Below are 26613 nucleotides of genomic sequence, written 5' to 3' on the forward strand. Positions count from 1 at the left end.
ATTAGGTGTTCAATAAACGTAGGTTATTCCCTCCCTATCTCCATAAAATCATCAATTTTTTTAAAAGAGAAATTTTGATTAGAATCTTTAAAAATATCAATACTTCTCTTTCCAAAAAAGGAGGGAAGATTTAAATATAACAATTTCTCAAGTATTTCTATTTATTTTCATTGTTGCTTAATATTACTCATAATAATGAAAATGCAATTGCTCTCTTTCAAACATAGTTTTAATTAGTTGTACAAAATGCCACCTTATAGTCTGATGTACTTCAAATTTCCCTATCTATGAAAGCTAAATTTGGATATTTTCATCTCAAGTATATTGTAATCTCTGTCTTTAAATCTATCTAGGGTTCTACCTTTTCTGTCATCCTTAGTGAATCTCACTATAGTCCTCCTTCCCTTTAAAAATGCAGTGATAGGCCAGGTGTGGTGGCTCTTCCCTGTAATCCCAGCACTTTGGGAGGCTCAGGTTGGAAGATTGCTGGAGCTCAGGAGTTCGAGACCAGACTGGGCAACATGGCAAAACCCTGTCTGTGCAAACAATACAAATATTAGCCCAGCATGGTGCCATATGCCTGTAACCCAGCTCCTTGGGAGGCTGAAGTGGGAGGATCCCTTCAGCCCTGGAGGTCAAGGCTGCAGTATGCCATGATCCTGCCACTGCACTCCAGTCTGGGTAACAGAGTGAGACCCTGTCTTTAAAAAAAAAAAAAAAAGGCCGGGTGTGGTGGCTCACACCTGTAATCCCAGCACTTTGGGAGGCAGAGGTGGGTGAATCACTTGAGATCAGGAGTTCATGACCAGCCTGGCCAACATGGTGAAACCCTGTCTCTACTACAAATACAAAAATTGGTTGGGTGTGGTTGCGGGCACCTGTAATCCCAGCTACTCAGGAGGCTGAGACAGGAAGACTCACTTGAACCCGGCAGGCGGAGGCTGCAGTGAGCTGAGATTGTGCCACTGCAGTCCAGCCTGGGCAAGGCAGAGTAAGACTGTCTCAAAAAAAAAAAAAAAAAAGAAAGAAAGAAAGAAAGAAAGAAAGAAAAAGAAAATCAGTGATAGGTGAGGCAGCTCAGGCCTGTAATCCTAGCACTTTGGAGGCAGAGGTAGGAGGATCACTTGAACTCAGGAGTTCAAGACCAGCCTAGGCAACCTAGTGAGTCTTTCCTAGTGAAAATTATTTGTAATTATGCCAGAGTGCTGGTGTGTGCCTCTGGTTTCAGCTTACTTGGTAGGCTGAGGTAGGAGGATCACTTGAGCACAGGAAATCAAGGCTGCAATGAGCCGAGATCGTGCCACTGCACTCCAGCCTGGGAGACAGAGTGAGACCCTACCTCAAAAATAAAAATAAATAAATAAATAAAAATTCAGCGATGGAGTTGATGGATTCGAGGTTGAGAACCCCCAATGTGAACCCATTTGGAAAAAACTCAAACTATGTTCTTCCTCTGCTTCACAACAAAACCACAACAATCAAACCAGAAGACTTCTGTGGCCTCAAAATCCAAGGAGATTTCTCCCCATCAGCAAGCAAGGAATCAGTTCTGCAGCAGACACCAGCTGGGTGTCCACCAATTCGATTCTGACACTATCTACCATGAGATACTGTCATCCCACAGGCTAAGGGCTCAGCCCCCAAAACTGGTCCCCTTTCAGACACCAGTCACAAGTCCCAGCCTCTACAACTTCTGACTGACGGGTTCAATTTGGGATTCCTACGACCCCCTCTTTGGGTTCGATTAATTTGCTAAAATAAAATGGCTCACAGACCTCAGGGAAACACATTTACTGGCTGATTATAAGGATATTCCAAAGGATACAGATGAAGAGATGCCTAGGGCGAGGTATGGGGCAAGGGGCACAGAGCCTCCATGCCCTCCCTAGGCACGACCCTCCAGGAACCACCATGTGTTCAGCTCTCTGGAAGCTCTCTGAATCCACCCCTTTTGGGTTTGTAAGGAGGCTTCATTACATAGGCATGATTGATTAAACCACTGGCTACTTGCCATCAACTTAATCCTCAGTCCCCTCCACTCCCCAGGGGTGGGAGGGTAGGGGCTCAAAGTCTCAACCCTCTAATCCTGCCTTGGTCTTTCTGATGACCAGCCCCCATCCTGAAGCTTTCGGTCAATCACTAACATACAAAAAGCCAAAGGCTGGGTGCAGTGGCTCACGCCGGTAATCCCAACACTTTGGGAGGCCGAGGCAGGCAGATCACCTGAGGTCAGGAGTTCGCGACCAGACTGGCCAGTATGGTGAAACCCCGTCTCTACTAAAAAAAACAAATACAAAAATTAGCCGGGCGTGGTGGCGCGTGCCTGTAGTTCCAGCTACTCGGGAGGCTGCGGCAGAAGAACTGCTTGAACCCGGGAGGCAGAGGTTGCAGTGACTGGAGATTGCGCCACTGCACTTCAGTCTGGGCGACAGAGAGAGACTCCATCAAAAAAAAAAAAAAAAAAAAAAAAAAAAAAAAAAAGCCAGCACTTAAGAGATTCCAAGGACTTTAGGAGTTGTATGCGAGGAAATAGGGACAAAGACCAAATCTGTATTTGAGAAAATCACAGAACCGTATGAGTATTTAATTCAATACAGACATGGAAACTGGCCCAAGCATTTACTCACAGATGACTGGGCAAATCCCTGGTGTTATTGGTACAAACTATTGATCGAGCCCCCAATCTCATTCCTACCCCTAAAATATAGCAAAGTGAAAGATCTTATCACTTATTTGGACTGAGATTAACACCATCCCATAAACTGCATGGCTTTCAATCCCAGGGCTATGGCGTGTGATGCCACATAGAATATGCACTAATCTCTGCAGCAATTGAGTTGTTAGGGTAAAGGCTCTTGTTTTTGCCTTCTTTCTCTCACGGCCAAGAAAATTAAGGAACAGGGACACAAAGGATGAGGTCGGAGCGGAAGTTTAATAAGCAAAAGAAGAAAGCTCTCCCCAGCGGAGGGACCCAAAAGAGGGTTGCCAACTAGGAGGCTGAATCTGGGGGGGTTTATTAACTGGGAAGGGGAGGAACGTGGGCTGTCTTGAAGAAAGCACTACCCAGCTTGGCCCTGGGACCTTAGCCCGGGACCAATCCCAGGCTGAAGTGAAAGTTTGGCCCAGGACCAATCAGGGGCTGAAGTGAAAGTTTGGCCCGGGACCAATCAGGGGCTGAAGTGAAAGTTTGGCCCGGGACCAATCAGGAGCTGAAGTGAAAGTTTGGCCCGGGACCAATTAGGGGCTGAAGTGAAAGTTTGGCCCGGGACCAATCAGGAGCTGAAGTGAAAGTTTGGGCCGGGACCAATCAGGAGCTGAAGTGAAAGTTTGGCCCGGGACCAATCAGGGGCTGAAGTGAAAGCTTGGCCCGGGACCAATGAGGGGGTGAAGTTATGATTCAAAGAGGCCGCGCTCACAGTCTAAAGCATGTCCAAAAAAGGAAAGTGGCCGCCGGAACCTGTTAGTCCAAGCTGCACCGTTTCGTAAGCCCCCACCATTTCACAGACCCTGGTCAGAGGGAAACATTCCACCCGGGTTTGGGCTGTGCGAAACATCCTTCCCAACCGCCTGACTTCCTTATCACATCCTGCTGGGCAAAAGCCCAAGAAACATCCTTATCAACTTTCTCCCAGGCAACAAGCCATACCGCCCAGACCCCTCCTGCCCAGGCCTGTAATTACCCCAGCCTGGAAGCGGCAGTGGGCTCTGGCATTTAGTTGGTCCCCGCCATAGAGCCGCCAACTCTCTCTCTTTCTTTAACCCTCGCCTTCCCTTCAAAATCTAACAGAGCCCACCGTGTACATGCCCACAAAAGAAGCGACTATTTCGTGGAAGCCCGCTGGTCACACAAAGGACAAAGGCGTTTCTATGTTGGGCCTCGGTCCCTTATCAGTGCAGCTGAGGAATGTCTTCAGGACAACCCCCCTGTGGAGTTTTCCTTATGTATGCCTGCAGCCTGATTTTTCAGGCTGTTTCTCTGTTTAAAGGACTTTTACCAAGGTCCCACCCTAACTGCCTAAAGAGTTTTTTCTCTCAAGGGGACACACAAAGTCCCAATCGCACACATGCCTCCGCATATCCACTTACCCACTGCCTCACAGCCAATCACACTCTCCTCTCTCACATACACCAAGGGGCCACACAAGTTGCACTTGCACAGCCACAGACCTGCAACTCACGCACACAAGGTACTGCACAGACACGCAAAGTCACACACCCACCCCGGGACACGCAGTCCAACCACACAGTCACCGGTTCTTCACATCCGCACGCACAACGAGGGTCGTCCAGGACACACACACCCACTCCGGGCGCGCACAGTCACAAGCGCCCACCTGATCACCCAGAGTCAGCACCACACAGCCACAGTCACAGACCACGGAGACCCACGGCAGCCATCGCGATCACACACGCAAACTCCTCTCCTCAGCCCTCCACACACAAAAGGACCGGAGCCGGATTCCTCACCCTCAGCATTCTCTGGTTCCGCTCGGGGCCAGCCTAGCCAAGTTCCTCAGGACTCCAAGGCGCGGCGGCAGCTAAATCGGCACAGCAAACGGTCCCGCCACCTGGCTAAGAGGAAGCCAAAATCTCGCGAGACGTGGCGTCGGCCTGCGGGATCCTCTGGGAAATGTAGTCCAGAGCCCGACTGCGGGCTTCCCTATGCCTCTCATTTCCAAGCCTGGCTTGTTTCCTTTTACCGCTCCTCTCCAACGAGGATCGCAGAGCCCTCATGCCGAGCGGCTCGCTATGGGGCCGGCTCGCCCGCTAGAGTGGTCAGGCCTGATTATCCCTGGCAGCTCTGTTATCTGGGGTAAGACACAGGAAAACGTGCTTCCGGTTCTCGGCGGAAGTAGCCCCGAACGGTAGAACCGATGGGAAATGTAGTCCAGGGCAGAAAAGCGGTCAACCCAGCCACGATGCGAGCCAAAGGATTCTTGGCTCCAAGCCTGGTCCTGGCTGTTAGTTTGGAACTCATGCACCCAGATGCTAACTCGCCCTCAGAATGCAGAGGGGATGAAACACTGACCGGACAATTCAATCTGTATATGGGTGAGTCCAGGGCTCAGTCTGCATTGCGCGGAAAATGAAGGTGAAGGTGGAGGTGGGACCTGATGGTCTCGTCCCGGATAGGGTTGAAGAAGTGGGAGAAAAGGAATCAAAATCGTGGATGGGATAAGATTGTGCGCGAATGCTCTCTGGGAGCGGATCGTGGCCGACGAGGGCCCGAAGATGCTGCCTTGTGATCGCAGGTGTGAGTGGAAGCTGTGTGAGTGTCAATGTGAGTTGCCTGTTTGGGAGACCAGCATTGTATTTTTGTATCAGGTAGTAACCTTGGAGCCAGGTATTTGTAAAATTATGATAAGAGGGCATCATTCTGGAGCATCGATTTTATTTGGAGGTTGACAGGAGAGGGAAAAAAACCCCTAATATCTGATAAACAACATAAATAGATTTTTATGTTAAAGTAGTTATATTTATTACGGTCTAGAATGCAAATCCAACATGGCTTTTAAAGCAAGAAAGATTTTTTTTATACAAAGTCAAAGGTATTATTTTTATACACTTACTACAAAACATACAAATAGTATACCAAGCCTAAGAATATAAAGAGTCTAGCTTTAATTAATTGAATGTAAATTTAAAAACAAGCATCTAATAAGTAGTCCTTTTCACACATCGAAAAGCCAATTTCGGAATTTTTTTAAAAACTCAAATTACAAAGTAACAAATATCTGGTGTCTTAGTAACTTGAAGATCAGTACTAATGATTAAGCCAGCTTATATGCTAATATGATACATGAAAAAGCCTGTATTTCACAAATAGCAAACCACTAAAACTTTAATTTTCCACAGAAGCCATTGTTTCACACCAATAATTATGTTAAAGATCAAGACAGGCTAAAAGTTTTTAATGAGCACTGAATCCATTAAAACTTGGCAAATTTTTCCACGAAGGTAGAATTTTAATTTCTGTTTAAACCATGGGTAGATGGTACACCCTTGTGAGGGTGTACTGTAAGTACTTCTAAGGAGCTTTATCAGACTTCATCCCAAATTATGTACCTAGTAAAAGATGTACCAATGTCTACTTTGGAATAAGAAATTATTCCTTGTTTGAGCAAGGATTAAGCAGAAACTGAAAGAAGTGTAGTTTATAGCTTCTTACATAAAGTAGATGGGCACCCCTCAAAAACAAACCAATATCCTGGCTCCTTAAATATCAACATTAATCTAAATAATGTATAGCATGCTCCTGTCCAATCTTTCCCGCTCATTTGTAGTCTTCTCAGATCGATGCTTCATTTTAGTCACACATTTCTATCCTGCAAGACTGGGTACCTGGGCTTTTTGTCTGGTTTTGTAACACTAGGCAGTTTTGGCCTTACTCAAAATATAAGACTGCAAAAGGCCTGTTTTACCTCAACCATACGGCTTCAGGAAATGGTCTGTATTTCCAACAGAAAAGTGGTATCTAACTCTCAGGATGGTTTCTAACAACTGGATAGATACCTGGGTCTTTGCGGCCTGTGATGCAGCCTAACAATACAGGACCTTGTGTGATCAGCTAGGTCTGCTAAAGCAAGGGGACATCCATGTTCTAGATTTTTATTTATTTATTTTTTTTTGAGACGGAGTCTTGCTCTGTCGCCCAGGCTGGAGTGCAGTGGCGTGATCTCGGCTCACTGCAAACTCCGCCTCCCGGGTTCAAGCCATTCTCCTGCCTCAGCCTCCTGAGTAGCTGGGACTACAGGCGCCCGCCACCACGCCCGGCTAATTTTTTGTATTTTTCGTAGAGACGGGGTTTCACCGTATTAGCCAAGATGGTCTCGATCTCCTGACTTCGTGATCCGCCCGCCTTGGCCTCCCAAAGTGCTGGGATTACAGGCGTGAGCCACCTCGCCCGGCCCATGTTCTAGATTTTTTATTCTGGTTTAGCAGGATCCAAACTGCCTGTCCTGAAGAGACTCTCTTTCTCTTCCATACAACGGCTGGCCTCTACCAAGTTAACTGCTTCGTGGGGGGAAAATATTGCCTTTCCTTTGGTCTGCATGTTTTAAGGGAAATACCAAATACACCTACAGGAGTTTATCAATAATAGACAAGGCTGATTTCAAACTCTTTCAGGAGATAAACTGGAGGGGAAGACGAATGGCAGGAGGGTGAAGAGGAAACTGAATTACTGTGCAAACACCCGCCACTCAAATCCGGGTGGTTACTGCAGAGTGAATAACGATAGGTACTATTTCGTGTAAGGCAAAGTCCTTTGAAAGGGCTCCTAGAGCGTCAAGGCCTCCACCTGATGAATGAATGAGTCAGGCAGGCCCAGCTCCACTTCACGGATGGGAAAACTGAGGTACGAGGCCTCGCTGAAAGATGCGAGGCAGAGCGGAGAACCAGAAGCACCACTTCTCTCAGGCTGATGCTCTAATCTCGGCTCCCCCCGCCCCTACAATGGCGTAGACGGCCTCCGCCGCCCGACTCACACACACCCTCCCCCGGGAACGGCAAGTCTCCTCGGGTTCCAAGGACAGGGTCAAAAGACAAGAGGCCCGAGGCGCTCCCGCCGTGATTTGCAGCCAGATACCGTTGGGAGCGCAGCCAGAGAGCGTTGGGAGCGTGCGTACCTCCAGCCCAACATGGCGGCGGCAGCGGCCGCCCCCGACCCCAAGCCCTCCCTCAGGGCCCGAGGCTTCTCCTCAGGGCCTTCCGGTGGGCGGGAAGACAGCGCAACCCCGCCAGGCCTTTCTCGTCGCTGCGCCTGCTCGCTGAAGGAGTCACCTACCCGACGAGACTAACGGCTGCGGCGCGGAAGCCCCACAGCCCGCCGAGAACCAGGAATACGAGAGCCAGGCGGCGCGGCGGCGGGACCTGTACTGAGCAAGAAAGAAGATTTCAAAGTAATTTATTGTTATGAGATCCGTGCTTTTATCTTGTCTCAGACTCCCAATGATAGGCACATACTCTCCTCTGTACATTTAATGAAACTACTAAAATATTTCGATTTAAATCTTCCACCTATTTGTTTTCTGTGTATCCTACCTGTTCCCGACCTTGACATTTTCAAAGAATACAGGTTACTTATTTTGTTTTTTGGTGGTGGTGAGTTTTTTTGGGGTTTTGTTTTTTGGTTTTTGGTTTTATTTTTGGAGACAGGGCTTTGCTGTATCGCCCAGGCTGGAATACAGTGGCGCGATGATAGCTCACTGCAGCCTCGAACTCCTGGGCTCAAGGGACCCTCCTGCTTCAGCCTCCCGAGTAGCTGGGACTACAGGCCTGCGCCACCACGCCCGGGTAATTTTTTATTTTTTGTAGAGATGGGGTGTTCTATGTTGCCCAGTGTGGTCTCAAACTCTTGGGCTCAAGAGATCCTCCCACTTCTGCTGCCCAAAGTGCTAGGATTACAGGCATGAGCCACCGCGCCGGGACAGTTATTTTGTAGAGTGTTCTTTAATTTGGATGTACCTCATCTTTTATGTATCTTTGGGAGGAATACCACATAACTCATGTGGTTTATCCCATCGAGAGACACACAGTGTCAATGTGTTCCATTCTTGGTGATGTTAACTTTTATTACTTAGTGAAAATAATTCTAAGAGATTTCACCACTGTAGAGTGAATAAATGAATATGTGGGATTCATCAATGAATAAGTAAAAGGATGCCAACTGGCAAAAGAACTGAGTTGGGAGGATGGCTTGAGCCTGGGAGGTCGAGGCTGCAGTGAGCCGTGATGGCACCACTGCCCTCCAGCCTGGGTGACAAAGCAAGACCCCGTCTCAGAAAAAATTAAATAAATAAATAAATACCCAGCACCTGAACATCTCGGGCATTTCCTGTGCCTCTTATATTGGGTCCCTGGTTTCTTGGAGCGTATGTCTTTTTTTTTTTTTTCTTGGTTTAGCTTCTCATTTTTGTAAAAAACACGTTCTTATTTTGTTTACCATTTTGACAAAGGCGAATTTGGGTTAAAACTTTGGGACCCTTATAAGCTTGACAGTGTCTGTATTCTACCTCTTTTGGATGACACCTTAACTAGGTTTGAAATTTTAGGTTGAATGTGGTTTTCACTTAGAATTTTGAATTATATAACATTGTCTGCTAGCTTACAGTGTTTATCTTAAAATATGACAATTTGATTTGTGTTCTGTTACTGTTCTTTGTCTTTCAAAGCATTTAAAGGCCAGGCTCAGTGATTCATGCCTGTAATCCCAGAGTTTTGGGAGTACGAGGCAGGAGGATTGCCTGAGCTCAGGAGTTCAAAACCAGCCTGGATGACATAAGGAGACCCTGTTTTCATAAAAGTAAAAATAGGCCGGGTGTGGTGGCTCACACCTGTAATCCCAGCACTTTGGGAGGTCGAGGTGGGCAGATCACCTGAAGTCAAGAGTTTGAGACCAGCCTGGCCAACATGGTGAAACGCTGTCTCTACTAAAAACACAAAATATTAGTTGGGTGAGGTGGCATGCACCTGTAGTCCCAGGTACTCAGGAGGCTGAGGCAGGAGAATTGCTTGAACCCAAGAGGGCATGGTTGCAGTTGAGCCAAGATCGCGACACTGGACTCCAGCCTGGGCAATGGAGTGAGACCCTGTCTCAATAATAATAATAATAATAATTTTAAAAAACATTTAAAATTGTCTCTTCGTACTAGTTTTCTGAAATTTCACAGAAATGTGTTTTGGTGTGGTTCTTGTTTCTTTCGTTGTACAAGGTACTCAGTGGATCTTTGTATTAATATTTTGAAGACTCATGATCTGTGTTTCTAGAAATCGCCTTTTGTTTGTTCTGTGAAGTTTTCTTCCATTCATTTTTCTTCTCTCTTTCTGAAATTCTAAACATCCTTTTAGTTGGATGTTATAATTTCTGATTTCTTCTGGTAGTTTTGTCATCTTTCATCCCTTTTATTTTTATTTATTTTTATTTTTTGAGATGGAGTCTCGTTCTGTCGCCAGACTGGAGTACTGCGGCGCGATTTCGGCTCACTGCAACCTCCGACTCCCTGGTTCAAGCAATTCTCCTGCCTTAGCCTCCTGAGTAGCTGGGATTACAGACACCTGCCACCACACCTGGCTAATTTTTGTATTTTTAATAGAGACGGAGTTTCACCATGTTGGCCAGGATCGTCTCGATCTCTTGACCTCGTAATCCGCCCACCTCAGCCTCCCAAAGTGCTGGGATTACAGGCGTGAGCCACCAAGCCGAACCACGCATTGTCTATTTTCTCATTATTTATAGCATTGTTTTGCAGCATACTTGTTGGAGTCAAACATTTGTTACTATCCAATTATTATTATTGTTATTTGAGATGGCCTTTTGCTCTATCGCCCAGGCTGGAGTGCAGTGCTGCACTCCTAGCTCACTGCAGCCTCAACCTCCTGGGCTCAGGTGATCCTCCCACCTCAGCCTCTCAAGTAGCTAGGACCACAGGTATGTGCCACCACACCCAGCTAATTTTTTTATTTTTTATAGAGACGGGGTTTGACCGTCTCCAGGCTGGTGTCGAACTCCTAGGCTCAAGCAATCTGACTGCATCAGCCTCCCAAAGTGCTGGGATTACAGGTGTGAGCCACTGTGCCCAGCCCAACTATCATCATCTTTATTTTTATTATTATTATTTTTTGAGACAGAGTCTCACTCTGTCACCCAGGCTGGAGTGCGATGGTATAATCTCAGCTCACTGCAACCTCCGCCCCCGCCCGGTTCAAGCGATTCTCCTGACTCAGCCTCCCAAGTAGCTGGGGTTACAGGTGCTTGCCACCGCGCCCAGCTAATTTTTGTATTTTTAGTAGAGATGGGGTTTCACAATCTTGGCCAGGCTGGTGTTGAACTCCTGACCTTGTGATCTATCCGCCTCGGCTTCCCAACGTGCTGGGATTACAGGTCTGAGCCACCGCGCCTGGCCACTATCTTATTATTAAATAATGTTACATGCAGTGTCTTTGGGGAGAGAATTCAGTTTTTCAGAGACAGACTTTGCTCATTTCCTGATTTGTTCATTTTAATTCAAATAGTAAAAGCTTTAGAAAGGCATGAGGATTGCTTGACTCCAAGAGTTCAAGACCAGCCTGGGTAACAAAGCAAGACCCCATCTCTACAAAAAACACTTTTTAAATTAGCCAGGCCTTGTGGTATGTACCTGTAGTCTCGGCTACTGGGAAAGGTGAGTTGCGAGGATCTCTTGGGGCCAGGAGTTGAAGGCTGCAGTGAGCTATGATTGCACCACTTCGCTCCATCCTATGCAACAGAGCAAGACTCTGCCTCGGTCAATCAATCAGTAAAGATACTTATCAAAAGTAAGCAGACATGCAGGCAGATCACCTGAGGTCAGGAGTTCGAGACCATCCTGTCCAGCATAGTGAAACCCTATCTCTACTAAAAATACAAAAATTAGCCGGGTGTGGTGGTGGGCGCCTGTAATCTCAGCTGCTCGGGAGGCTGGGGCAGGAGAACCACTTGAACCTGGGAGACGGAGGTTGCAGTGAGCTGAGATCGCACCATTGCACTCCAGCCTGGGTGACAGAGCAAAACTCCGTCTCACAAAAAAAAGTAAGCAGACATGTCTGCTGCCTACGTGAGGTTTACATTCTAGTCTGGGAGAAAAAAAAGATTTTAAAGTAAAAGGAGAAAATGAGGTAATTTTATATCGTGATCAATACTATGAAATAAATCAATAGGTGGTATAAGCAGTAACTTGAGGGATACTTCCCGTAGCATTGATAGGACAGGTGACTGAGAGATAACCCTTGAGCTTTGGTGGTGAGGAGTCAGCAGTGTGGAAGGGTATTCCAAGCAGAGGCACAGTTACACTAAAGATGCTGAAAAATCAGAGAGCACTTGGAGCATTCCAGAAACAGAAAGCAGCCTGGTGTGACTGAAGCTTAGCAAGTGAGTGGGAAATTAGTTTAGATTTAGGATGCAGAGGTCAGCATTTTCCATATCATGTGAGGAAATGATAGTGCTGAGATTACAGGCATGAGCCACTGCACCCAGCCCCAAACCAAGTTTTTACAGTGGTAAGAATAGATGTTCTGCTATGGTCAGTGTCTAAAGATTTTACAAACAATATCTCTTCTAGTTTGCAGTCATTATTGAAATAACAAACACGTTCTATTGTCAGGCCTTACTATCACTAACTAGTTTCATTGATCTGAATAGGAAACTTACTTGATTAATCAGCTACTCTGGTATTACCTGACATCTCATTAATGCATCTATGAATTGAATTGTTGCTCAATAGGAGTGATTGTTAAATAGTGGCAATGTGATATATCACTATTGAAGTTATGGCCTCTAATGTGGGTCCTATGACAGTTTCGGCAACTCTGTAAGCACTACGGGGTTTTACAATGATTTCTGCAATTTTTTTTTTGTTTTTTTTTTTTGAGATGGAGTCTCACTCTGTCAGCCAGGCTGCAGTGCAGTGGCACGATCTCAGCTCACTGCAACCTCCGTCTCCCTGGCTCAAGCGATTCTCCTTGCCTCAGCCTCCTGAGTAGCTGGGATTACAGGTGTGTGCCACCACGCCTGGCTAATTTTTGTATTTTTAGTAGAGACGGGGTTTCACCATGTTGGCCAGGCTGGTCTCGAACTCCCGACCTCAGGTGATCCACCTGCCTCGGCCTCCCAAAGTGCTGGGATTACAGGTGTGAGCCACCGCGCCTGGCTGATTTATGCAATTTTATAAGGCAATAATTTCATCATAATTTGTTTGCTTATCCTTTTTTTTTGTTTTTTGAGACCGAATGTCACTCTATCGTCCAGGCTGGAGTGTGGTGCTGCAATCTCAGCTCACTGCAACCTCTGCCTCTCAGGTTCAAGTGAGTCTCTTGCCTCAGCCTCCCGAGTACCTGGAATTACAGGTGCACACACCATGCCCGGCTAGTTTTTGTGTTTTTAGTAGAGACAAGGTTTCACCATATTGCCCAGGCTGGTCTCCAACTCCTGGGCTCAAGGGATCCACCCGCCTCAGCCTCCCAAACTGTTGGGATTACAGGTGTGGGCCACCTCACCTGGTCGCTTGTCCTTCTTAAATAAGGAAGTAACAGTGTTACAGTTCAAAATTCTATTTTAAACTTTTTAAATATTCTGCTTCTCGACTTTATCAGGATGTTTCTTTTTTCGATGATCCACAAATCTTGATGGTTTCATAGCCCTGTTTGTAAAAAAACAAAACAAAACAAAAACAAAAAAAATGATTATTCATAAGAAACAAGCTGTTTTGAGTTAAATGGGGTTTTCAATAAAACCGTAAGCTAGGTCGGGCGTGGTGGCTCACGCCTGTAATCCTAACACTTTGGGAGGCCGAGGTGTGTGGATTGCCTGAACTCAGGAGTGACACAGAGTGAGACTCCGTCTCAAAAAACAAAAACAAACAAAACAAAACCCGTAAGCCAGATATTCATTCATTCAGATGTAGTCAACATTTTTCATTTTCAACACTTAACACAATTAATGCTAGGTTGAATTATTTTCATAATATAACTATTTTACATAATTCCCAAAGCACTGAGGATCAATCATAAATACTATCCACAAGGCAGCCAATAGACACACACAGACCACCTCTCATGTAACTTTGGGATAGAGCATTCAATCAAGAAAAAGTCTTCCGATTATAGCCATCAATTTGCCATCATTTTGTAGCACTGATCTTGCATAGATTTTTTTTTTTTTTTAAGATGGAGGCTCCTTCTGTCGCCCAGGATGAAGTGCAGTGGCATGATCAGCTCGCTGCAACCTCTGCCTCTTGGGTTCAAGCGATTCTCCTGCTTCAGCCTCCCATGTAGCTGGGATTACAGGCACGTGCCACCACTTCCAGGTAATTTTTTTGTATTTTTAGTTGACACGAGGTTTTACCATGTTGGACAGGCTGGTCTTGAACTCCTGCCTTCGGTGATCTGCCTTCCTCGGCCTCCCAAAGTGCTGGGATTACAGGTGTGAGCCACTGTGCATGGCCTGATCTTGCGTGGACTTTTTATCTTCCATAAAATGTTCAATGCTGCCCATAAGACTTGAGAGAAATTAAATACCAAGGAGTAAAATTCTGTGCAATAGGCCAGGTGCCTGGTGGCTCACACCTGCAATCCCAGCACTTTGGGAGGCCGAGGCAGGCGGATCACTTGAGGTCAGGAGTTCTAGACCAATCTGGCCAACATGCTGAAACTCCGTCTCTACTAAAAATACAAAAATTAGCCGAACTTGGTAGTGCATGTCTATAATCCCAGCTACTTGGGAGGCTGAGGCAGGAGAATCTCTTGAACCCAGGAGGCAGAGGTTGCAGTGAGCCAAGATTGCACCACCGCACTCCAGCCTGGGTGACGGAGTGAGCCTCCAACTCAAAAAAAAAAAAAAAAAAAAATTGTGGAAGGCCACAAACCATTGCAACAACTATAATTCATTTTACCTTCAGTAACCAATGTTCACCCTCTTAGGGGCAATATCACACCCATTAAGAATGCTTGGCCAGGCACAGAGGCTCATGCCTGTAATTCCAGCACTTTGGGAGGCCAAGGGGGGGCAGATCCACTGAGGTCAGGAGTTCCAGACCAGCCTGGCCAACGTGGTGAAACCCCGTCTCTACTAAAAATACAAAAATTAGCTAGGCATGGTGGCAGGCACCTATCGTCCCAACTACTCAGGAGGCTGAGGCAGGAGAATCACTTGAACCTGGGAAGTGGAGGTTGCATTTGAGCTGAGATTATGCCACTGCACTCTAGCCTACATGACAGAGTGAGACCCTGTCTCAAAAAAAAAAAAAAAACTTACAGTAAGGCTAAATAAATATACAAATTAGGTGTGTGTGTTAGTATACATACATTTCCTAGTTCTGCCCACTAAGAGGGCCTAGAAGCAATGACACACCAGTAGCAATGAGCACACTTGTCACCCTGATCTTGGTGATTTTGTTTTTGTTTTGTTTTTAAAAATAGAGATGGGGTCTCACTGTGTTGCCCAAGCTGGTCTCAAACTCTTGGCCTCAAGGGATCCTCCTGCCTCAGCCTCCCAAAATGTTGAGATTACAGGCCTGAGCCACCTCACCCAGCCCAAGATTTTGGTGCTTTGTAAATAAAACTCTTCAATAAAAGAAACCAAGGATCTTTAAATGAATGGTTTATTCCACGTCTGGGTCAGGGAAAATATCAAATGAATCAAAACATTTTATGGTGCCAGAAAGTTGGGAATTAGTCCCGTACCCCAGCCCCCTGATAAAGGCATGCTATAAATGGAATACAGGAGCCAACCTAAAGAAACTCCCAAGGCCAGTGTTCTTTTTTTTTTTTTTTTTAAGATGGAGTTTCACTCTTGTCGCCCAGGCTGGAGTGCGGTGATGTGAGGTGTGATCTTGGCTCACTACAACATCCGCCTCCCAGGTTGAAGCGATTCTCCTGCCTCAGCCTCCCGAGTAGGTGGGATTACAGGTGCCCACCACCACACTCAACTAATTTTTTGTACTTTTAGTAGAGACAGGGTTTCACCATGTTGGGCAGGCCGGTCTCAAACTTGTGACCTCAGGTGATCGCCAAGCCTCGGCCTCCCAAAGTGCTGGGATTACAGGTGTCAGCCACTGCGCCCGGCCTACTTTCTTATTGTTTTCAGTATCATAACCATGTACATGTTCAATTGCGCATATACTATGTTCTCTACAAAGGTGCAGTTTGGACCTGACTCATCTCTATCTCCAGCTCCTAGGAACATAGGAGGTACTCAGTTACATGCTTGAAAACTGCTGGGGAACAGAAATATAAGTCTAAGGACCATGAGTAACATTCATTTTCATCTACCACAAACAGATATACAACTCATCTGAGCCTTGGTTTGATTCATTCATTCATATGTTCATTCTTTAATTTGTGAAGTACTTATAAATGTCAATACACACTTGATAATGTAGTGGATGCTGGAAATTCAGGAGTATCCATTCAACTTCCTTACGAGATCTATGGAATAAAGTATGTACTATGCTCAAGGTGAGCACATGGTTCTAGAAAAAGCCAGAGGAAAAGTAGCTCATTTCTGGAAAAGGTGATATCTGAGCTGAAAAAATGTTTTCACGTAGAAGTGAACAAGGTTACTAAAATAAGTACTACTCAGGAGTATGATAATGAGCACGGACGTCTGAGTAGAATAGAGGTAAAGGTCACTGGGATTAATAAAGCAAGGTGTGGCCAAGGCGAGCGGATTACCTGAGGTCAGGAGTTCGAGACCAGCCTGACCAACATGGAGAAATCCCGTCTCTACTAAAAATACAAAATTAGCCCGGTGTGGTGGTGCATGCCTGTAATCCCAGCTACTTGGGAAGCTGACGCAGGAGAATCGCTTGAACCCAGGAGGTGGAGGTTGCAGTGAGCTGAGATCACACCATTGCACTCCAGTCTGGGCAACAGGAGCAGAACTCCGTCTCAAAAAAAATAAAATAAAATAAATAATAAAGCAAGGCACACGGCCTGATCTTGCCTAGATTTTTTATCTTCCATGAAATGATTAATGCTGCTCATAAGACTTGAGAGAAATTAAATACCAAAGAGTAAAATTTTATGCAATTGGTCAGGCACGGTGCCTCACACCTGTAATCACAGCACTTTGGGAGGCTGAGGTGGGCAGATCACTGGAGGTCAGGAGTTCTAGACCAGCCTGGCCAACATGGTGAAACCCTATCTCTACTAAAAATACAAAAATTAGCTGTGGTGGCTTTCCTCTAGAAGAGCTGGGTGCAGTGGCTCATGCCTGTAATCCCAGCACTTTGGGAGGCCAAGGCAGGTGAATCACTTGAGCCCAGGAGTTTGAGACCAGCCTGGGCAACCTAGAGAGACCTGTCTCCACAAAATTATTGGGGCATGGTGGCACATGCCTGTGGTCCCAGCTACTTGTGAGTTTCAGGTGGGAGGGTCACTTGGACCCAGGAGGTCAAGGCTGCAGTGAGCTGTGATCACGCAACTGCACTTCAGTTCGGATGATGGAGGTGAGACCCTGCCTCAAAAATATAAAGTATTGGTACTCTACAACAAGAGCATTGCATTGTCACCCATGTAGACAATAAATTGACTCAGAATCACAAATACTTATATTGGGGACCTGTATGTCAAGCCCTAGGAAGAGTGCCAGGTCATCATCTGGGAAAGGAAATATTAGGAGTATTGGGGTGTGAATAGTACTGCACAGAATTCCAATTCATTTCAAAATATATTTCACAGATTATCACAAACCAGGAAATGAGTTGTGTGTAATTTTCTTTGTTTTTGAGACAGAATTTTACTCTTCTTGTCCAGGCTGGAGTGCAATGGCTCGATCTCGGCTCACCTCAACCTCCACCTCCCCGAAACCTCTGCCTCCCAGGTTCAAGTGATTCTCTTGCCTCAGCCTCCCGAGTAGCTGAGATTATAGGCATGTGCCACCACACCTGGCTAATTTTGTATTTTTAGTAGAGACGGGGATTCACCATCTTGGCCAGGCTGGTCTTGAACTCCTGACCTCGTGATCCACCTGCCTCAGCCTCCCAAAGTGCTGGGATTACAGGCGTGAGCCACCGCACCCGGCCAGTTTGGGTTGAGACAGAGTCTTACTCTGTCATCCAGGCTGGAGTGCAGTGGCATGATCCCGGCTCACTTCAACCTCCGCCTCCCGGGTTCAAGCGATTCTTGTGCCTCAGCCTCCTGAGTAGCTGGGACCACAGGCATGGGCCATGACACTCAGCTAATTTTTGTATTTTCAGTAGACACAAAGTTTCACCATGTTGGCCAGGCTGGTCTCAAACTCTGGGCCTCAAGTGATCTGCCTGCCTTGACTTCCCAAAGTGTTGGGTACAGGCATGAGACACGGCACCCAGCCAGTTGTATGTAGTTTTAATCAAACAACTCCCCAAATTCAATGAAGACACCAATTGTATTCATATCCTGCCCTACTAGTCACCCAAGTGAATATCATCATCCAATAATGAAATACCTCTAAAACAACCACATGCTGGAGGGCTGGGGGTTAAAGGAAGGAAATATATGATTTTTACTATTTGCTTTTTTTTTTTTTTTTTTTTTGAGATGGTCTTGCTCTGTCGCCCAGGCTGGAGTGCAGTGGTACAATCATGGCACTGCAGCCTCGACCTCCCCGGGCTCAGATGATCCTCCCTCCCCAGCTTCCAAAGTAGCTGGGATTGCATGCGCACACCACCATGCCTGGCTAATTTTTGTATTTCTTTGTAGAGGCCACGTTCTGCCATGTTGCCTGGGTTGGTTTCAAACTCCTGGGCTGAAATGATCCACCTGTCCCAACCTTGTGAAGCGCTAGGATTACAGGTGTGAGCCACCAGGCCTGGCCTGTTTTATTGTTTAATACTTTAACATTTGAGGCTTCCAATTGCAAGCAACAGTCTCAGCCTTTGGTAATTAAGCCAAAAAGGTAGGTAGCTCACAGAATGATTGGGAGGGATAGAAATCCAGGCTCCAGGCTAGGCTTCTAGGTGCTATGCCCAAAATTATGCCATGGGACAGGTATAGTGAGTAAGTCACCTGCCTCTCCTGCTGGCACAAGAACAATGGGAATTGCCACTGTTGCCACGCTGATGTGCTGTCTGCACCTGATACACGATATATGAGCAACTACTCTTGCCTGTGAAAGCCGGAACCTCTGCCTCCACCCTTGCACGCAAGATGAATTCATGTGAAACCTTAAGTTGATCAATTTTGAAATATCTTGATATGAGTTTCATTGGTGAAACTTAGACACATGACTTAGTCACGTGCCCTACTTCAAAAGAGCCCAAGGAACTGAAGAAATTTCCTAGAGCTGGCAAAAATGTTCAAAAGGGACAGGGAGTGGTGGCTCATGCCTATGTTCCCAACATTTTGAGAGGATGAGGTAGGAGGATCGCTTGAGCCCAGGAGTCTGAGGCTGCAGTGAGCTGTGACAGCACCACTGCACTCAAGCCTGGACAATGGAGTGAGCCCTTGTCTCAAAAAAATTTTAAAAATGTTCAAAAGGTACTGAGTGGCCAGAAAAACAGAACAAATGCCTCCTATCTTCTATCTTTTGACATCTCTTCAGTAACATACACCTTTCTTCCATAATCAAATTTAACATCTTCATCTACAACAAAATGGTCTTGCCCCATATACTGCCACTACCTCACTAACGTAAATGCAAAGTTCCTCCAAGTGTCATAAGTTACTGTGACCATTTTCTTTCTTTTCTTTTTGACATGGAGTCTCGCTCTGTCGCCTAGGCTGGAGTGCAGTGGCGCAATCCTGGCTTACTGCAACCTCTGCCTCCCGGGTTCAAGCAATTCTCCTGCCTTAGCCTCCTGAATAGCTGGGATTACAGGTGTGCGCCACCATGCCCAGCTAATTTTTGTATTTTTAGTAGAGACAGGGTTTCACCATGTTGGTCAAGCTGGTCTCGAACTCCTGACCTTGTGATCCACCCGCCTCGGCCTCCCAGCTTTTAGTTTAATTAGGTATCACTTGTCTATTTTTGTTTTTGCTGCAATTGCTTTTTTGGAAACTTAGCCAAAAATTCCTTACCAAGTCCAATGTTGAGAAGAGTATTTCCTAGGTTGTCTTCCTGGATTTTTATAGTTTGAGGTCTTATATTTAAATCTTTAATCCATTTTGAGTTAATTTTTGTATATGGTGAAAGGTAGGGGGCTCAGACTCAATCTTCTGCACATGGCTGGCCAGTTATCCCAGAATCATTTATTGAATAGGGAGTCATTTCCCCATTGCTCGTTTTTTTTGACTTTGTCGAAGATCAGATGGTTGTAGGTGTGTGGCTTTATTTCTGGGTTCTCTAACCTGTTCCATTAGTCTATGTGTCTGTTTTTGTACCAGTACTATAACATTTTGGTTACTGTAGCCTAGCAGTATAGTTTGAAGTTGCATATATGATGCCCATCAGCAGTGGACTGGATAAAGAAAATGTGGTACATATACACCATGGAATACTACATAGCCTTAGAAAACAGACAAACAAACCAAAAAACCCAAAAAACCTGTCCTTTGCAGCCACATGGATGCAGCTGAAGTCCATTATCCGAAATGAATTAATGCAGCATCAGAAAACCAAATACCTCATGTTCTCACTTATAAGTGGGAGCTAAACATTGAGTACACATGGACACAGAGATGGGAACAACAGACACTGGGGCCTGCTTGAGTGGGAAGGGTGGCATGAGGCTATGGGTCAAAAAACTGTTGGGTACTGTGGTCACTACCTGGGTGACGATATCATTTGTACACCAAACCCCAGTGACATGCAATTTACCCATGTAACAAGCTGCACATATCCCTTAAACCTAAAAATAGAAAAAACTAACAATAAATAAATGAGGTATGTCTAATTGTTGAATGCTATGAAAGGTAACCAATGGAGATATTGAACATCGTGAGAGTGGCCTGGCGCTGTGGCTCACACCTGTAATCCCAGCACTTTGGGAGGCTGAGGTGGGCGGATCACGAGGTCAGGAGTTCGAGACCAGCATGGCCAAGATGGTGAACCCTCGTCTCTACTAAAAATACAAAAATTAGCCGGTTGTGGTGGTACGTGCCTGTAATCCCAGTTACTCAGGAGGCTGAGGCAGGAGAATCACTTGAACCCAGGAGGCGGAGGTTGCAATGAGCCGAGATGGCACCACTGCACTCTAGCCTGGGTGACAGAGCAAGAGTATGTCTCAAAAAACAAAACAAAAAAAAGGAAAATAGTGAGAGCACCATATCTGGAAAGTGGTCCAGGCACTGGGGTGAGGGGTGAGTGTCAGCCAAGTCATCAGCTATCAGAACAGGAAGTCATCAGGTAATACATCAAGTGGATATATTGAGAAGGAGCAGGATCTACCTATTATATAACACAGAGATAACCACTCAGATATATAGATTAGAAATAGTTTAGAAAATTTAAACATCTGATTATTCAGGGAGTAGACCTGGGAGCATTGGAGAAATGATGGGGAGTAGACTGCATGGAAAGCTCTTTCTTAGTATGTGATTTTTCAATTATGCACATAGGTTTCTTACATAACATGTAAAATTCAATTAAAGAAGAAACAAAGTTGTGTTCTGGGGTCCCAAAGGTTCAGTGATTAATTAGAAGAACTCACAAAACTGAGTCAAGCTGTTATTCTCATGGTTATGGTTTATTACAACAAAAAGATGCAGATTAAAGTCAGCAGCAGCAAAAGGTGCGTAGGGCAGAGACCAGGAGAGACCAAGCGCAAGCTTCCAGTTGCCCTCTCCCAGCGGCATCATGTGTACAGTGCTTAATTCACCCAGCGATACATGGCAGAAAGTACAGAAAATACTCCCCAGCAAAAAGCTTACCTGAGCCTTGGTGTTGAGGGTTTTACTGGAGGTTGGTCACATGGACAAGAGCACCCATTTGGATGACCTTAGTTTCTCTGTCTCCACCCTTCCCAAGGTCAAGCTGACACTGCATGGTCCAGGGTCCCCACAATAAATCACATTGTTAACTCCTACAGAGGCAGGATATTCCAAGGACTTAGAGGTTATTTCCTGGGAGATGGACTAGAGTCAAACCTTTCTTTGGAGTGTGCGGGGTTTGGACAATTCAGGCCTACTTAGTTTCCTTGACTGCACACAAGTGATAGTGAGTATGTAGGAAATGAATAGTCTCATATATTGCTGGTGAAAGTATAGTGTTGTATAAACCTCTGGAAAGAAATCGAGTGTGTAGTGCATAAACATTATATTTGGTTTGTTTTTGTTCTTGTCTGAGACAGAGTCTCACTCTGTCACCCACGCTGGAGTGCAGTGGTATGATCACAACTCACTGCAGCCTCAACCTCCTGGGCTCCAGCTATCCTCCCACCTCAGTCTCCTGAGTAGCTGGGACCACAGGCACGTGCCACCACACCCAGCTAATTTTTGTGTTTTTGGTACAGGCAGGGTTTCACCATGTTGCCCAGGCTGGTTTCAAACTCCTGGGTTCAAACAATCCTCTACCTCAGCTCCCCAAAGTGCTAGGAATACAGGAGTGAGCCACTGCACCCAACCTATATTTGTATATACATTAAATTGTATATGCTAAGCCGGGCACGGTGGCTTACTCCTGTAATTCCAGCACTTTGGGAGGCCAAGGTGAGTGGATCACTTAAGGTCAGGAGTTCGCGACCAGCCTGGCCAACATGGTGAAAACCCATCTCCACTAAAAAGACAAAGTTAGCTGGACATGGTGGCAGATGCCTGTATTCCCAGCTACTTGGGAGGCTGAGGCAGGAGAATCACTTGAACCCAAGAGGTGGAGGTTGCAGTGAGCCGAGATGACACCACTGCACTCCAGCCTGGGTGACAGACTGAAATTCCATCTCAAAAAATAACAAAAAATTGTATATATTATTGTATGTGTGTGTATATATTAAGTTGTATATACACATATTAAATATATATACATATATTACATTTTATACACATACATTTGTTTCCTCATGCAATTTGTTTCAGCAGAAGTAAAAATTAAAGATATAAGTAAAAGAATATTTACAGAAGCATTATTTTTGGTGGCAAAAGTACTTTAATATCTTTAAATGCTCATATAATGGAAGATAGTTTAACTCTTACAAAGAACGAGTTAGTTGGCCGGGCGCGGTGGCTCACGCCTGTAATCCCAGTTTTTTGGGAGGCCGAGGCGGGCGGATCACTTGGGGTCAGAAGTTCGAGACCGGCTTAGCCAACGTGATGAAACCCTGTCTCTACTGAAAATACAAAAATTAGACGGGCGTGATGGCATGCGCCTGTAATCCCAGCTACCCGGAGGCTGAGGCGGGAGAATGGCTTGAATCCGGGAGGCGGAAGTTGCGGTGAGCCGAGATGGCGCCACTGCACTCCAGCCTGGGTGACAGAGTGAGACTCCCTCAAAAAAAAAAAAAAAAAAAGTTTGTGGAACCAATTCCAATCCAGTCCAGGGGAGCACACACTGGCGACCAACATCCCCGCTCAGGTCCCTTCAGGGTCGAGAGAGTGCGCCTGGAACAGACTGGGAAACTCCAGCAGGCAAAGTAATGTGCCAGGAATAAAGACACCGCCTGACACATTCTCCATGTTCCTTACACCCACCACGCTTCCATCCGGCTCCAACTCTGTCCTCTCCCCAGGAGCCTCAGATTAAAATACTGCAAGGAAGACACCGATTCTCAAAGTCACAGGCCTAGGAATCTGAGCTACAAAGAAAAATGAGCCCCTGCTCCCCCAACTCCCCCCTACTCCCCTCAGCCCCACTGCCCTGCACCTGCCCCCTCCTCCGTAATTTGAACTGTCCTCCCAGAAGCTGGAGAGACGGCCCGCCTGTGAGGAAATAGAGGACCAGCATGCGGCAAATGCCTGGGTTAGGTAGGAGCAGACGGCGAGATTAGCGCAGGGATGTAAGAAACAAGTGGCTCTCAGACCAAAGAAGACTCCGCGGCAGACGGCACACTAGGCCTTCATAGAGGCGTGCGCTGGACAGGAGCTCGCCAGTTACCGAAAGAATTGTCTGAGAAAGGCTCTGATCTGACCCGAAAGGCCCTTGGTTCCCACGGCAACGCCTCAGCGTCTGGCAGTAACAGGCTCTGTGCCCGGGCTCTCTGGATCTGCAGGTCCCGCCTCCGCCAGCCTCTCACAGCCCGGAGGCACCTCCCATTGGCGCCTGACGGGTTGGTTAGGGCAGCTTCTCTTCCGGCTGTGACAAATCCAGCCTGAGGAGCGCTCCTGTGTCTTTCTTAGTTGTTTCTTCCCGCCCACCTGCCCCTCAAAGCCACAACCCACTTGCACGCCACCGTGTGGACACCTTAAAGCGACCTTCTAGCTCTGAACCCCGCTGAGGGAATGGTCACCTTCGCTCCTATTAGATGGCTTGGCCCAAAGGACCTAGCGACGGCCCAGACAAAAATTTCTTCCTACAAGCTCCATGTGTCTGTGGTCTCTAAGACTCAAAAACAAACCCAAAAGAAAAAGCCAACCCCCACCCCCCGCAAAAAACAAACAAACAAAAACCCCCAAAACGCCGCCAACCCACCTTTCACGAGAGGAGTCCTTGAGAAGAGCCTCTCCAGCCAGGACCAGGTAAGGGAATCTGTGCACTTGGCCAGACCCAGAACACACAGTGGCAGGGACCTGACAGCCACACTCTTACCCCATAGAATCTCCACCACTGACACACAGATCAGGATGCGTCACCATGAGAGATGACACCGCAAATCTGGCTCTCACGGATTGATTCCATACTGTCTCATCGATCCCACACACATCCCATCACTGACACCAGATTCCCTCATCACTGACCCTACATACCCACAATCATTGATTCCATGGACCTCATCACTATCCCAAAGACCACCTATCAGTAATCTACAGACCCTCCTCTGTCACCCCGGGGACCTCACAGATTCCCCATCCCCGATTCCAGGATCTATAGAACCTCATCTCTTACCCCCACAGACCTATTAATAAGAGGGTACATTCATGGAAGACTGTGTTGACCATTTTACACACCCACTGCATGTGTGTATGTGTGTGTGTGCGCGCTGATTAATGGACTTAGGTAAACTTTAGCGTTTTGGTAGGCAATGCAGTTTTTCAATGCCTTTTCTTTTTCTTTCTTTTTCTTAACATCTTTAAAGGCCTTACCCCAGTAAGTGTGGATTGCAATTCATTAATGCCTATCCTTTATTGAGTCCTTGTCATGCATATTTATTAATAATAATTCATAATTCTTACAACTCAGAGACACCAGAGACTCACATGAGAAGAATGGCTGTGGATTTTTATTTACTTATTTATTCATTTTGGTTTCTGTAGATTATAAAAGTCATTCATTTGCATCAAGTCACCAAGTGTATACTTTGTTTTCTAAAAAAAAATTCTAATTACAAAAAAATTGTTTTTAGACAGGGTCTCACTCTGTCACCCAGGCTGGAGTGCAGTGGTATAATCATGGCCACCATTGCCTCGACATCCTGGGCTCAAGTGATCCTCCCACCTGAGCCTACCTAGTAGCTGAGACCACAGGCATGTACCAATACTTCCACCTAATTAAAAAAAAATTTTTTTTTTGTAGATATGTGGGTCTCACTATGTTGCAGAGACTGGCCTTGAACTCCTGGGCTCAACTGATCCTCCCACCTTGGCCTCCCAGTGTTGAGATTACAGGTGTGAGCCATTGCACCCAGCTGATAAAATCTTAAAAAGAGTAACTTTGGGCCGGGCGCGGTGGCTCACGCCTGTAATCCCAGCACTTTGGGAGGCCGAGGCGGGCGGATCACGAGGTCAGGAGATCGAGACCATCCTGGCTAACACGGTGAAACCCCGTCTCTACTAAAAATACAAAAAATTAGCCGGGCGAGGTGGCGGGCGCCTGTAGTCCCAGCTACTCGGGAGGCTGAGGCAGGAGAATGGCGTGAACCCCAGGGGGCGGAGCCTGCAGTGAGCCGAGATTGCGCCACTGCACTCCAGCCTGGGCGACAGCGAGACTCCGTCTCAAAAAAAAAAAAAAAAAAAGAGTAACTTTGGGACCTAATGTAAAATTTCCACTGAGATGATGCGTCAGAAATTAAGGTAGAATAAGATGGTCCTAGGGCATCTGAAACAACGGAAACTCAATCTTGGGCCAGGCGCGGTGGCTCACGCCTGTAATCCCAGCAATTGGGAGACCAACGTGGTTGACTCACTTGAGGTCAGAAGTTCGAGACCAGTCTAGCCAACATGGTGAAACACTCTCTCTACTAAAAATACAAAAATTAGCCAAGATTGCGCCACTGCACTCCAGTCTGGGCAACAGAGGGAGACTCTGTCTCAAAAAAAAAAAAAAAAGAAGAAGAAGAAGAAGAAACAAAATCTTAATTTCTTCATCAAGTGTAAAACTGTGGACTGGACTCTGGAGGAATAATACATAAAAAGACACACAGGCAATTTTTTTTTTAAGTTTTATTGAGAAATATTAATAACATACCACAGAAGCCACCCATTGAAACTGTAAAATTCAACGGTTTTCAGTATATTTGCACAGTTGTGCAAACAGCACCACAATAAATTTTAGATCATTTTCATTACCCTGAAGAAAACCGCATATCCCTCCATTTCCCCCCAACTCCCCTAACCCTGGGCCACCACCAATGTACTTTGTTTCTATGTATTGGTCTATTTTGGACATTTTATTTAAATGGAATTACAAAACGTGGTCTTTCGTGACTGGCTTCTTTCACTTAGCATCATATTTTCAAGGTTTACTCAATGTTTCATGTGCAGAGGGGGCACTTTATGTAAGGATAAACCTAGGAGGGAGGTGCTTATTGATTTTGAAACTTCACTCCAATATTGTAAAAGGGAAATGATTGGTTTCAAATAGAGGAAAAACCTATTCGGGCTAAAATCCTCCCTTTTCGCCAGTTTGTAATGTGGGGTTTTATTGCGAAGAATGGCAAGGTTTTTATGCATATTTTCTGCAAATTCTCCCTGTGTTTGGGGAACAGTCACAGAATGTGGAGGTGTGGGCTTCTGGACTCTGTGGCTGGAGATTCAAGTCCAGGAGAACTCAGGTCCCAGGTTAGGCAGAGAAAAACAGTCCAAGAGTGCCGATAGAACTCTTTGAAATAGAAAATTTAAAATGTCCCCTCCCAGAGAGTCCCAGATAACCACACA

The 26613-nt window shown here is 46.0% G+C and overlaps 1 protein-coding gene and 1 long non-coding RNA gene across 5 annotated transcripts in view, besides 4 other annotated features; one reads left to right on the top strand and one right to left on the bottom strand.

Annotated features, from left to right (window-relative positions):
• ZNF850 (zinc finger protein 850) overlaps nucleotides 1-4550 on the bottom strand; it is a 29328-nt gene extending 24778 nt beyond the window's left edge. For both annotated transcript variants that reach the window (NM_001267779.2, NM_001193552.2), the window contains exon 1: nucleotides 4468-4550. The gene's annotated coding sequence lies outside the window, so the exon portion shown is untranslated. The remainder of the gene's footprint in view (nucleotides 1-4467) is intronic.
• Nucleotides 4090-4384: a silencer, noted in NCBI's record as "tiled region #9870; K562 Repressive non-DNase unmatched - State 1:Tss". NCBI's record gives its function as "represses a minimal TATA promoter and a strong SV40 promoter by Sharpr-MPRA in K562 cells {active_cell/tissue: K562}" and the evidence as "EXISTENCE:reporter gene assay evidence [ECO:0000049][PMID:27701403]".
• Nucleotides 4371-4510: an enhancer, noted in NCBI's record as "active region_14532". NCBI's record gives its function as "activates an Ori minimal core promoter by ATAC-STARR-seq in GM12878 lymphoblastoid cells {active_cell/tissue: GM12878}" and the evidence as "EXISTENCE:reporter gene assay evidence [ECO:0000049][PMID:35858748]".
• Nucleotides 4651-4810: an enhancer, noted in NCBI's record as "active region_14533". NCBI's record gives its function as "activates an Ori minimal core promoter by ATAC-STARR-seq in GM12878 lymphoblastoid cells {active_cell/tissue: GM12878}" and the evidence as "EXISTENCE:reporter gene assay evidence [ECO:0000049][PMID:35858748]".
• LOC728485 (uncharacterized) lies at nucleotides 4896-8821 on the top strand. Of its 3 annotated transcripts, none has more exons than NR_164116.1 (2): nucleotides 4896-5281; nucleotides 7129-8821. It is a non-coding gene; the product is annotated as an uncharacterized LOC728485 (long non-coding RNA). The 3 variants fall into 3 exon arrangements; NR_164117.1 differs by having other exon boundaries at nucleotides 4896-5252; NR_164115.1 differs by having other exon boundaries at nucleotides 4896-5052.
• Nucleotides 23562-24062: an enhancer, noted in NCBI's record as "H3K4me1 hESC enhancer chr19:37282721-37283221 (GRCh37/hg19 assembly coordinates)". NCBI's record gives its function as "activates a minimal SCP1, AML or CMV promoter by ChIP-STARR-seq in naive H9 embryonic stem cells {active_cell/tissue: H9 hESC(naive)}" and the evidence as "EXISTENCE:reporter gene assay evidence [ECO:0000049][PMID:30033119]".

The sequence above is a fragment of the Homo sapiens genome, chromosome 19 (assembly GCF_000001405.40).
Source record: "Homo sapiens chromosome 19, GRCh38.p14 Primary Assembly".
In the NCBI taxonomy this organism is placed as follows: Eukaryota; Metazoa; Chordata; class Mammalia; order Primates; family Hominidae; genus Homo; species Homo sapiens.